The 14,114-nt window shown below is 38.2% G+C and overlaps 1 protein-coding gene across 14 annotated transcripts in view, besides 2 other annotated features; it reads left to right on the plus strand.

Annotated features, from left to right (window-relative positions):
• Positions 1-14,114, plus strand: part of ADGRV1 (adhesion G protein-coupled receptor V1) — a 605,641-nt gene that overhangs the window by 107,533 nt on the left and 483,994 nt on the right. For 11 of the 14 annotated variants that reach the window (NR_003149.2, XM_017009963.3, XM_017009969.3 and 8 more), the window contains 5 exons: positions 6,217-6,393; positions 7,725-7,905; positions 8,914-9,116; positions 9,751-9,880; positions 13,220-13,300. Coding sequence is in view for 13 of the 14 variants with exons in the window: in XM_017009963.3 (XP_016865452.1) it covers positions 6,217-6,393; positions 7,725-7,905; positions 8,914-9,116; positions 9,751-9,880; positions 13,220-13,300 (772 nt within the window). In the remaining variant the exon portion in view is untranslated. The remainder of the gene's footprint in view (positions 1-6,216; positions 6,394-7,724; positions 7,906-8,913; positions 9,117-9,750; positions 9,881-13,219; positions 13,301-14,114) is intronic. The other 3 variants (XM_017009964.3, XM_047417824.1, XM_017009966.3) reach the window with 2 other exon arrangements.
• Positions 1,527-2,058: an enhancer, noted in NCBI's record as "H3K27ac-H3K4me1 hESC enhancer chr5:89963673-89964204 (GRCh37/hg19 assembly coordinates)". NCBI's record gives its function as "activates a minimal SCP1, AML or CMV promoter by ChIP-STARR-seq in primed H9 embryonic stem cells {active_cell/tissue: H9 hESC(primed)}" and the evidence as "EXISTENCE:reporter gene assay evidence [ECO:0000049][PMID:30033119]".
• Positions 6,074-6,631: an enhancer, noted in NCBI's record as "NANOG hESC enhancer chr5:89968220-89968777 (GRCh37/hg19 assembly coordinates)". NCBI's record gives its function as "activates a minimal SCP1, AML or CMV promoter by ChIP-STARR-seq in primed H9 embryonic stem cells {active_cell/tissue: H9 hESC(primed)}" and the evidence as "EXISTENCE:reporter gene assay evidence [ECO:0000049][PMID:30033119]".

A 14,114-nucleotide genomic window follows, 5' to 3' on the forward strand; every position in this document is an offset into this window, starting at 1 on the left:
AGCTCTTCTTGTTGAATTGATCCCTTTACCATTATGTAATGGCCTTCTTTGTCTCTTTTGATCTTTGTTGGTTTAAAGTGTGTTTTATCAGAGAGTAGGATTGCAACACCTGCCTTTTTTTGTTTTCCATTTGCTTGGTAGATTTTCCTCAATCTTTTTATTTTGAGCCTATGTGTGTCTCTGCACGTGAGATGGGTTTCCTGAATACAGCACACTGATGGGTCTTGACTATCCAATTTGCCAGTCTGTGTCTTTTAATTGGAGCATTTAGTCCATTTACATTTAAAGTTAGTATTGTTATGTGTGAATTTGATCCTGTCATTATGATGTTAGCGGGTTATTTTGCTTGTTAGTTGATGCAGTTTCTTCCTAGTCTCGATGGTCTTTACATTTTGGCATGATTTTGCAGCGGCTGGTACCGGTTGTTCCTTTCCATGTTTAGCGCTTCCTTCAGGAGCTCTTTTAGGACAGGCCTGGTGGTGACAAAATCTCTCAGCATTTGCTTTTCTGTAAAGTATTTTATTTCTCCTTCACTTATGAAGCTTAGTTTGGCTGGATATGAAATTCTGGGTTGAAAATTCTTTTCTTTAAGAATGTTGAATATTGGCCCCCACTCTCTTCTGGCTTGTAGGGTTTCTGCCAAGAGATCCGTTGTTAGTCTGATGGGCTTCCCTTTGAGGGTAACCCGACCTTTCTCTCTAGCTGCCCTTAATATTTTTTCCTTCATTTCAACTTTGGTGAAACTGACAATTATGTGTCTTGGAGTTGCTCTTCTCGAGGAGTATCTTTGTGGCGTTCTCTGTATTTCCTGAATCTGAACGTTGGCCTGCCTTGCTAGATTGGGGAAGTTCTCCTGGATAATATCCTGCAGAGTGTTTTCCAACTTGCTTCCATTCTCCCCATCACTTTCAGGTAGACCAATCAGACGTAGATTTGGTCTTTTCACATAGTCCCATATTTCTTGGAGGCTTTGCTCATTTCTTTTTATTCTTTTTTCTCTAAACTTCCCTTCTCGCTTCATTTCATTCATTTCATCTTCCATCGCTGATACCTTTTCTTCCAGTTGATTGCATCAGCTCCTGAGGCTTCTGCATTCTTCACGTAGTTCTCGAGCCTTGGTTTTCAGCTCCATCAGCTCCTTTAAGCACTTCTCTGTATTGATTATTCTAGTTATACATTCTTCTAAATTTTTTTCAAAGTTTTCAACTTCTTTGCCTTTGGTTTGAATGTCCTCCCGTAGCTCAGAGTAATTTGATCGTCTGAAGCCTTCTTCTCTCAGCTGGTGAAAGTCATTCTCCATCCAGCTTTGTTCCGTTGCTGGTGAGGAACTGCGTTCCTTTGGAGGAGGAGAGGCGCTCTGCTTTTTAGAGTTTCCAGTTTTTCTGTTCTGTTTTTTCCCCATCTTTGTGGTTTATCTACTGTTGGTCTTTGATGATGGTGATGTACAGATGGGTTTTTGGTGTGGATGTCCTTTCTGTTTGTTAGTTTTCCTTCTAACAGACAGGACCCTCAGCTGCAGGGCTGTTGGAGTACCCTGCCGTGTGAGGTGTCAGTGTGCCCCTGTTGGGGGGTGCCTCCCAGTTAGGCTGCTCGGGGGTCAGGGGTCAGGCACCCACTTGAGGAGGCAGTCTGCCCGTTCTCAGATCTCCAGCTGCGTACTGGGAGAACCACTGCTCTCTTCAAAGCTGTCAGACAGGGACATTTAAGTCTGCAGAGGTTACTGCTGTCTTTTTGTTTGTCTGTGCCCTGCCCCCAGAGGTGGAGCCTACAGAGGCAGGCAGGCCTCCTTGAGCTGTGGTGGGCTCCACCCAGTCTGAGCTTCCAGGCTGCTTTGTTTACCTAAGCAAGCCTGGGCAATGGCGGGCGCCCCTCCCCCAGCCTCGCTGCCGCCTTGCAGTTTGATCTCAGACTGCTGTGCTAGCAATCAGCGAGACTCCATGGGTGTAGGACCCTCTGAGCCAGGTGCGGGGTATAATCTCGTGGTGCGCCGTTTTTTAAGCCCGTCGGAAAAGTGCAGTATTCTGGTGGGAGTGACCCGATTTTCCAGGTGCCGTCCGTCACCCCTTTCTTTGACTAGGAAAGGGAACTCCCTGACCCCTTGCGCTTCCCGAGTGAGGCAATGCCTCACCCTGCTTCGGCTCCCGCATGGTGCGCGCACCCACTGACCTGCGCCCACTGTCTGGCACTCCCTAGTGAGATGAACCTGGTACCTCTGATGGAAATGCAGAAATCACCCGTCTTCTGCGTTGCTCATGCTGGGAGCTGTAGACCAGAGCTGTTCCTATTCGTCCATCTTGGCTCCTCCCCCTGGTAGTTTTTTTTAATGGACGCTTGACATTCGAAAGCTCTTTTAGAACTTAAAAAATTTACTTTATTGTACAAAATATTCATTAAATTTTCTATAAAGTGTTGATATATAGCGTGTAACTGTACATTCTTTTATTAGATATGAATAGTGATTTTTTTAAACTGAAAATATTCAGGAAGCTATAGGTTTTGATGAAGGTTTTAGTAAATAAAAATATAGTTAGGTAACTTTTCCCTGTGACTTTTGCAAACAAAATCCTCATCTTAGTCCTAAATGCTATGTGCTAATGCTTACTGACTTGATAAAAATTTAAGTTTGTAAAAGAAACCATTATACATTTCTTAGTGTCTCTTTGGATCTATTTAACTAATGCCTCTTGCTGAAAAGGGAAAAGATTTTATATTTACATATTAAGATTAATGGTTTATTAATTTAACTCATGAGATGTTACGATCCCCATTTTCAGAGGAGACTGTGAATGCTTGATAAGTGGTAGAATGAGGAAGCTCAGGACTGCTTGGCCTTAAAGCCATACTCTTTCCACCACACATTTGCTCATGTACCATTCGGCTAGCATGAAAATCCTGATGTAGATCCCTAAGTGGAAATTAAATCTGATGTTGTATTGACACCTGGGTCTCAAGCTGCATTCTCCTCTTCTGTCCAACATCTTAAGGTTGGAGTGCCCTACCTTCAGGACAGTCAGTTCCGCCATGACATGATGGATGGATTCTTAAAAATCATCACACTATGCCAGATGCATAATGAGAAACACAGAACTTATGGAAAAGATGGGGTTAGGAAAACACTGCTCAAGGACTTGGTCGTTGACACTTAAAAAAAATAGAGACCTGATAAAAATGTTGTACACATTAAATATTTAATACTTATAAACCACAATAGATATGGCATATTATCTTTAAAAAACTTTAAGTTTACTTGTAGAAGTGGGCATCAGAAGGATTGCAGCTTGTGTGTTATTGTGAAATGATAGAATGAGCATTATCTAAAATTGGAGGAAAATTATAACACTAGATGTGGTTAAGTGTGGCTAGTAACACAGGTGTTGAACTGAGTAGCTGGTAGTTGTTTGAGGTATGTGTTTGAGGTATGTGGCTTGTTTCACGTGGGTACAATTTTCTGTGTTCACCAAGTTTCTTGTGGATGAAATAGCACTTATAAGCAAATGCAAGTTGAGGCTGTATTCAAATTGTTCCCCAATATATTATCAATTGCATTGGAACAATTTCATGATTTCAAAATAAGTGTTATAGCAGAATTAAATGTACTTGGTCCTCTTCTCCTCTCCATCTACACTCCCCCTGCTGTCGCAACTGGTTTTCGAATACCATTTGTATAATTATATATTTATCCACCAATTTTACATGGCTTTAAATATCATTTATATATTGATAACTTCCAAATTTATGATGTCAATCTCATCTTTTCTCTAAAATTCCAGACTCATTTCTTTAGTTACAACTTGATGCATTTCTAGGATATTTATTTCATAGACACTTCAAACTAGGCATATTTTAAGCCCTTTGATTCTTACCCAAAACCTGTGACTGATACAGGAGGAAAGTCAAACCTGCTTCAGAGATGCCTGGGCTTCATATGTTGCTACTTGCTGTAAGTGGGCTGATGCTTCTCTAGTGCCCTAATCAGAGGTGTTTCTGAAGGTCAGAGGGCAGAGCTGTAAACTGTCCACTTAGCCATTTATCTTTTGTGGATGGAGAAATGGCCTGAAGTATGAAGCTACTGCTTCAACCCTGAGCAGTGCTTATGGTGTAGTTGATCGGTGAGGGGCTTGGAAGAATCAAGACTAGAGACAAAGATGTTTGGGGAGAAGTCATGTGAATAGATTGCCAGGAGTTAACACTGAGTATGAGGGGGTGTTTCCCAAAAGGTTCTCAACAACCGTGAAATCAGAGTGAGGCTCTGTTGCATATCGGCCAGACTCTCCTTTGTCACCACAGTGCCATTAACAGCATGATGGTAGGGATGGAGGTTATGCATAGGTTTGACAGCATGAGCTCCCTCTTACCAAGACTGATGTAGCAACTGGTGGTTGCTGAATGTCCAAACAGCAAGCAGCAGAGACCAAAGCTAAGTACTTCTCAATAAACCATTTACTGGTACACTGATCCCAACCAGACTTTATCACTCCAAAGGAAACAGCAATTCATTCTTATTGGAATTAATACTTTGGCTAATGTATTTACTTTAGCCTCCTAATACATCCTAATACAAGCACCATCATCTGAAGGCATAAAGAATGCCAGCTTTAACCACATGGAGACCCGCATCACACGGCCTCAAAGGGACTAATATGAAGGAGGTGTAGCAATGGGTACGTAGTGATAGGACTGATTCACTGGCCTCACCATATACCATGTCACCTCAAGTAGCTGGCCTCATACAATTTAATGGCCTGTTGAAGACCCAGGCACAGTGCTGGCTTAAGGACAGCTTCTTGGAAGGTTGAAGTATTGTCCATCAGGATGCAGTGTGTGCATTCAATGGCTGGTATCTGTTTCTGTGTCCCCAATAACTAGAATGCAGAGGCTCAGGCAGCAGGAGGTAAAAGTGAGACTGACCCCTGTCTCTGCTACTTTTAGTGACCTACTGCCTGAATTTGTTTCCTACTTTAGACTCCACTGGATTAGAAATTCTGGTTCTGGCAGTGGGGCTGGGGGAAGAATGTGCCTGCTAGGAGACAACTGAGGGCCCCACTGACCTATCACCTGGTTGTTTTGGGCCTCTCATGCCCATGGACCAGCAGGCAAATAAAAGAGTTAGAATGTTGCCCCTGGTGTACTCGATCCTCTTTACCATGAGAACACCCAGGTTGCTGCTGCTCAGTGAAACTCAGAGGATTTGCTGGAACATCTGGTGACTCCACACTCATTGATAACTTTCGACTATTGTCGGTTTGTAGACAAATCCCAAATCTGTCCTCTCCAAAATGTCAGCACCAAAATGGCTCTATCTTATCCTGATCAGAGATGCTTATGGTTCATATGAAAAATACAGATGGCATTTTATATATTAAAACTTGTATTTTTATCTGTATTCATTTTTGGTTCTTTTTTCTCCAAACTATATATTTGCTAACATAAAAATAAAATTGAATTGAGAGACTGAGGATTTGACAGTAGGAAGGCCTTACTCTAAATGATATTCCAGCTGCTTCCACCATAGAGTTTTAAAGCATTATCTTAAAGTGTTTAGATAAAAAATTTTCCACTTGAAAAAAATACCTCTAGGTTTATATGATAAAAACACCAACAAATATATTAAGCATGGTATAAGATGCCCTCTTTGATCTGACTGTTGTTCCCACACTAGGCATCTCTCAAGGATCTCCCCATTTGGCACTTCATGCCACCCCGCCAAAATGATACCACCAAATATACTATATTGCTTCTTATGTCTGTGCCTAGAAAGTTCTCTCTGATGTCATGTTCCACCCTCTACCCCAACCCCCACCCCATTTGGTCTGTCTGTGCTGAGCCCATTATAAAATTGCAAGTTTGTCTTTCTCTTTAGAATTCTACTTATCCAGAGAAAGGACTATGCATTAAAAACTATTTTGCAACCATAGCATATGGCACAGTGGTTGGAACACAGGAGGTATCAATGAATGAATTACTTGTGCAGTTAAGACATTATAATTCTTTTTGCTTTATTTATCTCTATAATGGAATGGGAGAAAATGAATGATTGTAAATATTTCTTAGCAGTCAAAGTTTATCTGGGGGAATGCAGAGGCCTCGTTAGTCCCTTTTAGAGAGGTAGAAAGTTGTAGAATTAAGTTTATGGTAAAAGGATTTCATGGAAGCATTGTAATTTTGTCACTGATTTGAATTGCTATGCACCTATTAATAATTTACATTCAATTTCAGATTGCAGAGGAGGGATCAACCATTTCTTGTGTGGTTGAGAGAACCAGAGGAGCTCTGGATTATGTGCATGTTTTTTACACCATTTCACAGATTGAAACTGATGGCATTAATTACCTTGTTGATGACTTTGCTAATGCCAGTGGAACTATTACATTCCTTCCTTGGCAGAGATCAGAGGTAAACCCTACCTTTTTTGTTCCTTTGAAAGCCTCCTGGAAAGCTTTTCCTGAAGTGTTTGTTCTGTAATTTCTTTGCAGCTTTTGATTGAAGTGTCGCTTCCCATTATTATTTACAACTGTAACTGATACATTAGAATTTGCTTCAAACATGTCTGCTGTAAAACCTTTATCAGGTAGAGTTAGTTTCTTCATCACTTTATTTTGTACAGAACTTTATCATGACATTTTTGCGTTGGATTTTAAGTGATTTCCTATGGATCTGTCTCCTATGATAGATTGGGACTGGGGCCATGTCTAACCCCAGCATACTGCATATGTCAAAACATGTTTGTTTAATTAATAAGAAAGGAGAAATTGTTTTTTCACTTTAAATTTTGAATTAAATTTTGTAGAGCATGGCTCAGTTATTCCTATTCCTTTTATAACTTTTTTTGGATTAATTGCTTGTGCTGGACTCCTAAGGCCCATTATGAATCTATTTTCTAAAATACTGTTCCTGAGCACGTCAGGCTCTCCTTAGGCAGACGCTAGCCACAGATACATTGCCCTTGCTTCTTATCCTATCACATCTCATCATAGAACATGCAGTTTCTTAATTGGGAAGTCTCTACCTGTTGTTGGTAATACCACGGTCTTTGGTACAAAAAATATATGATATTATATTGATAAATCAACGTATCATATATGATGTAATACTGATGCATGTATAGGCTACTGTCAGAAAATGCTACTGCTCAGCACCTGCCTTAGTCTGTTGGGACTGCTATAACAACATACCTTACACTGGGTAACTTATAAACAACAGAAAGTTATTGCTCGCAGTTTTGGAGGCTGGGACGTCTGAGAGCAGGGTGCCTGTAGATTCTGTGTCTGGTGAGGGCTTACTCTGCTTCAAAGATATGGTGCCTTCTCAATATGCCCTCCTCACGGTGGAAGGGGCAAACAAACTCCCTCAACACTAATTCCATTCATGAGGGCTCTATCCTCAAGCCCTCATCACCTCCTGAAAACCCCATCTTTTAATACCATCACTTTGGGGATTAGATTTTAACATAGGAATTTGGGGGACAGGAGGATAAGACATTCAGACTATAGCAGCATCCATTATTTTTAAGGAATTAATCTATTCAGACTTCTCTTTCTCTTTATATGTCTATATACACACATATGCACACACACATACAATGTTTTAATGTTTTAATTTATGCAGAAATAAGTCGTAAGTGGTAACTTCATTTAAATATAATTTAGTTGCCTTTTGAATTTTCTTCTAGTAAGTAATTTCTAAATGCCTCATTGCTTAGTGCCTCTGGATATTTATATTTTTAGGTTCTGAATATATATGTTCTTGATGATGATATTCCTGAACTTAATGAGTATTTCCGTGTGACATTGGTTTCTGCAATTCCTGGAGATGGGAAGCTAGGCTCAACTCCTACCAGTGGTGCAAGCATAGATCCTGAAAAGGAAACGACTGATATCACCATCAAAGCTAGTGATCATCCATATGGTAACCTGCTCCTTTTGCAAGAAAAATCCTCTCTTCTCTGGGTGTACTTAGTTTTGTTAAGAACTTCTTAAGGCACTTTTTGCAAATGACGGAAGTAGAATGCCTTCAGACCTCCTAATTTCTAAACTCTTTAACTTGTATGCTACTGTTTTGAGAGACATTGTTTATGAGAGAAAATATAAAGATCAGTTTCCAAACTTCAATAATATGTTTTGAAAAGTTTTTGCAGGATTATTTAAAATGGAACAAAGTATTTCTGTTCATAGCTATCAAATTTCTTTAATTTAATAATTATCCTATGGTGATTTGTTAACACCTAAGTAATTGAAATACTTTGTAATTTATATTTTATTAAGCTTCAAGAAGTGAAGCTATCACTCTATATTAATTTCTTTTTGTCTTATGCTTAATAGTGACAATTTTCTCGATTGGGGAACTATCACAGATGTCTGTCCTAGTAAATTGAGAATGTTTTCTGTATTGGAAAATAATATTTCTTCTATGGGAATGAATCAAGAACATCTGTTAAAAGGTTTGGGTAGAAATCTTGAGAGGCTTTTCACCTTTAGTTTTCATAGTTAGGTTTTGTTTGTTTGTTGATTTGTTTATTTTTAAGTGTTGCAACTCCTTTAAGGTGCCATTTAACCTGTTCTACTATATGTTCTAGAATGATTTCTGGAGAGTCTAAAAAAATATGAGTAAAAGTTAGAAAATATGTATTTTAAAACTGTATCAGTATTCCTGCTATTGATGCTGCTGTGGGAAGAAAAGCTTTCTTTGAGTAAAGACTTGGAAAATTAACAATTTAACTTTCATTATTCTGAAAGCTTATGAACATATTCTGTATCAAAAGCATGTTAGTTAAATCTTTGCTAAAATATTTTCTAAATAAAGTCCCTCAGAATTTTGGCCTGGTGATCAAAATAATTGTGTAAGATCGCTTTAATTGAATAAGAAATTCTTGCACAGTTCATTGGGACAATGCCCTGGCCCCTTTGTCTCCACTAGGCTTGCTGCAGTTCTCCACAGGGCTGCCTCCTCAGCCTAAGGACGCAATGACCCTGCCTGCAAGCAGCGTTCCACATATCACTGTGGAGGAGGAAGATGGAGAAATCAGGTTATTGGTCATCCGTGCACAGGGACTTCTGGGAAGGGTGACTGCGGAATTTAGAACAGTGTCCTTGACAGCATTCAGTCCTGAGGATTACCAGGTAATTTACTCAGTCCTTTTGAAGTTGTATTTGCACTTGTAAAACAGACATAATCCTTCTCTGGAAGGGATATACACTGTACCTGGAACATAGTGACTCACGCCTGTAATCCTAGCACTTTGGGAGGCAAAGGCGAGAGGATTGCTTGAGGCCACCAGCATGGGCAACGTCGCAAGTCACTTTCTCTACAAAAAAAGAAAAAACAGATTAGCTGGGTGTGGTGGTGCAGCTACTCTGGATGCTGAGGCAGGAGGATTGCTTGAGCCTACGAGTTCAAGGCTATAGTGAGCTATGATCCCACCACTGCACTCCAGCCTTGGTGACATTGTGAGACTCTGTCTCTAAAATAAAAAAAGAAAAAAGAAAAATAAAAAAAGAAAAGAAAAGAAAGAAAGAAAAAAGAAATAATCTACTTTATCTAATTAATTGGAGAATATTTATTTAGAATTTACATTGAACATTATTCATACACACTGAAGTGTTTTCAATGTTGTATTTTACTTGTCTTCTTAGCATTTATAATAATTTGGGATATAACAAACATTCTGATTTTACAAATTTGTGTACAGAATGATTGTAATCTATTCATATACAGAATGATTGTAATCTAATGGATCAGTCTTTTATATTTCAGAATGTTGCTGGCACATTAGAATTTCAACCAGGAGAAAGATATAAATACATTTTCATAAACATCACTGATAATTCTATTCCTGAACTGGAAAAATCTTTTAAAGTTGAGTTGTTAAACTTGGAAGGAGGAGGTAAGGCTGGTGATTCAAAAATGTTAAATATTTGCTTGTCTACCCATGCTGATGAAAGTAGATTCCTTTAGGGAAGTAAGTTCCTTTGAATTAATCTTACTTAAATAAATGAATAAATTATTAGTTTTTGAAGAGAGCAGCCTGAAAGTTAATAATTGCTTAAGATACATGATAATATATACCATAATATATGTGGTAATATAATCTATATCAATCATTTTTGATTGATAATCCCTTTCTTGGTAAAAAGAAAATTTTCCTCTTTACATAAACTTTTAGAATTAGTTTTAGAAATTAATATTCAACTCATAGTTTCACATTGATATGCTTTCGCTATGAGGTTTGGTTAATTCTGAGTAATATCTCTGTTTATTATATGGACAGCATGTTCGTGCTATTTTTCCCCCTTATTATTACCCACTGATATTTTTCTAGAAGAGACGTGCTTTTAGAGTGAAAAGTATAAGTGTACTAAGTCACCAAATTACAGTTTTCATTCATGGTAGGTTCCCCTAAGGTCACCTCTCTCTTTTCTGTTTTTTGCTGTAGCTCTGCTAGATCTATCTACAGATATAACGCTGTAAAATCTGGTCCTTTTGGATGATCTATAATGAGTTGATTATTAATAAAAGAAGTCAACAATACCTTAACTTCAGTTCTGCTATTCAGAAAGCTCTGATTATCAAGGGTTATTGGAGTCAAACTTATTTCATGACAGAACTCATCTGCGCTAAGTGAGGCTATTGATAATATGTATCCCAATTAGATGGAATACTTTGCAAAAGTGTTAATGTGTTTATCAGGTGCTACTGGGAGTGTTATGGAATACATACGATATGCATTGTTAATTACCTTTATAAGTTTGAGAAATTGAGAGATGATATGGTGTTTATCAGGACAGTCCCTTTCATTACAAAACCCGGTATCATTACCTCATTATTATTATTTATTATTTTGATGAAGAAAGCCATAGTACATAAGCCATCCAAAGGAAAAATTGGTAGGACTGAGATACGAAAATTGTCTTTATGTATAAAATAGATAATTTGGGTAAATATGCAAAAATTTTTCTTTCCTGTGTTCCCAAATCTCAGGTAAGAGCAAGGAGACCAAGCCAGTGTTTGGGAGCAGGGAAGTGGTTAAACAGTGCTGAGCTTGGTTGAATGCATAAAACAGTAGAAATGTGCTGTCTAGTAGGTGGCATATAAAAATACCAGCTTTTCTTGTCTTCCAGAGACAAGTCCTTGTATCTCCAAATCACTATTTGCATTACTAAAAAGGTTACTATAAAATATTTGAAAAGTTGCCCTTTGTGTCACTTAAAGCTAAAAATCCTTATGTAATAGAAAGAGAAAATGTTAGTGACCATGAGCTAATACTGATTAATAATTGTACATGAAATGTTATTGAGATGATAATAATACTTGTGATCATATGACCACTTATAGTGACACTTGTTATATTATTGAGAAACTTCTCCCCATATCTCTAGAATATGCATTGTTATATATTAATTGGACTTGAATACTCACTAGAAAACCAACCTTGCAGTTGCGTAGGAAGCAATAGTGGCCGAGAATCTGATTTATCCCTCCGTGAGTTGGGATTGGAGGAAAAGGAATTTATACAATGACCTCTACTCCTGGACTCATATGTAGGGACTGTCTAACATGTCAAGTAGCTTATAGAGCTTAATTCTTTGGAGAGTCAAGGACTTATTTCATGCTTTTTGACTATAAAACTGATGAAACTGATGATTCTACATAAGGTAGCCACAACCTGAATAGATGTCTTACGCTAGCCAAAGTATATATGGTGTTGAACTTCTTTTTTATGACTTCTGGATAATGTGGGAGCAAAGCCATGTACCAGATATTTGCTGCAAATCCATTTTGCCTTTTGGATCTGTATGATGATTTCAGGTTCTGGGTGCCATACATTCTCATGTCTGGTATATTCCCATCCTATTGACAGGCAAAAACACAGGGCAAAAGGAGAAGAGAGGGCAGATCTTACACTAGCATGTCAATCAAGGATATTGGTAGAAGCGTATACGTATGGATGTGGCTTTGCTATTTTTACTCTCCTTTTTTTCTATTGCTGTCATCACTGCCCTTCCTATCTTCTTTGTTTGCAAACATTTGGTAAAATAATGGTTGGGGTACAAGATGTATTAGAGGGAAAGGTATAACCACTTTCTCTTTATTATTGCCAAAGTACTTTATATTTTATATTTTGATGATATTATTTATTTTCCATTATTTTATTTGATCTTTATAACTCTTAGTCCATTTCGTGCTGCTATAACAGAATACCACATACTGGGCAATTTATAAGCAATAGAAGTTTATGTGGCTCATGGTTCTCGAGGCTGGAAAGTCCAAGACTGGGGGACTGCATCTTTTAGGGCATTCTAGATACATAATAACGTAGTGGAAGGCTCCACATGGTCAGAGAATGCATGTGAGAGGGCAAGAGAGGGCTGAACTTGCTTTTACAAGAAACCCATTCTTGCAATAATGAACCCACTCCCAGGATAACAACATTAATTTATTCATGAGGGCAGAGGTGTCATGACCTGATCACCCCTTACAGGTCCCAATTCTCAACACGGTTGCATTTGCGATTAAATTTCCCACATGTGAACTTTGGGGAACACATTCAACCCATAGCAACAACATTTCTATAATAAAAGACAGCATCTTTCATAGGTGAGGAAACTGAGATACCAAGAAGTTTAGTGACTTGCTGAAATTTTTACAGCTGGCATCTTTCACAACCAGGAAAGCAGAATTGTTAGGTGACTTGTCTAGGACTCTTTCCACAATGCCAGTGGCCAGAGGGTGATCAAGTTTGAGAATGGTAAATAAATGTGGTGGGGATTTGAATGTGTGGATGGAAGGAAAGGTTAGATGCATTTCTCAATATTGAACTGGTTGTTGTGAATGGTAAGGTGATTATCACAGGCATATTAGGCCTAAGTGTATGATTATATAATCAGATAAATATATTTTAAATATCTAAGATATTAGAAAATAATTTACGTTGGTGTAAAAAAATGAAAATTTAAAAATAATACTAGATTGACAGAATTGGGAAGTAACAGTTACAGTCTACATGGAGTATTTCATGAAACTGAATGAAATTTTGATAATTTGGTAGCTTGACTGGTGCTATAATTCTACTATTTAAAATGATCCATTTCTTATGGAAGAATGCATGTTATTGGGTGAATATTACTGCATTTTCCTCTTTGCTTGATATGTTTTAAGACCTCTCAATTTTCTCATTGTGTCAATGTGTGTTGTGTGGGTTGTGTCTCTGTGTCTCCTTGTGAAGTAGCTGAACTCTTTAGGGTTGATGGAAGTGGTAGTGGTGATGGGGACATGGAATTCTTCCTTCCAACTATTCACAAACGTGGTAAGCAGTTTTTCCAAGGTCCTTTACTATTATAGGTTTTTATTTTAACTTCTCATTTTAGAGACAATACTAACCACTTATTGACACCTACTATGTGTAGGTCCTTTACATATTTTATCTTATTAACTGTCACAGAAACTTTATGAAGTATGATTTCCTTCATGTTGTAGTCACCCAGCTAGTAAGGGATCAAGTCAGAATCACATCCCTTTCTGCTTCCAAAACCCAGACTCTCCTTCTTGTATGAACCTAATGTAGTTTCCTGATTCTAATTGTGATAGAAATTTCACTTGAATGTCATTTATAAAAATGGTTGTTTGGAAACATTTTACATAGCTTTGAATACATAAAAAGAGGTCAATAGAAAATTTGTATTTTCGTTTTAAATACATCACACTTATTCTCTGTACAAAAAAGAACTATGAATCCTTATATGTAAAATGTAATCAAAACAAATGGGGAGTAATCCCAGCACTCTGGGAGACCGAGGCGGGCTGATCACCTGAGCTCAGGAGTTCCAGACCAGCCTGACCAACATAGTAAAACCCCGTTTCTACTAAAAATACAAAAATTAGCCAAGCGTGGTGGCATGTGCCTGTAATACCAGCTATTCAGGAGGCTGAGGCAAGAGCCCAGGAGGCTCTTGAACCCAGGAGGCGGAGGTTGAGTGAACCAAGATTGCGTCACTGCACTCCAGACTGGGTGACAGAGCAAGACTCTGTATCAAAGAAAAAAAAAAAAGAAAGAAACAAATGGGAAAAATAAATAAGGAAGAAAATAAATGGAAGGATAGTTGGCAATTATTGAAGGTGAT

Source organism: Homo sapiens, chromosome 5, assembly GCF_000001405.40.
Source record: "Homo sapiens chromosome 5, GRCh38.p14 Primary Assembly".
NCBI lineage: Eukaryota > Metazoa > Chordata > Mammalia > Primates > Hominidae > Homo > Homo sapiens.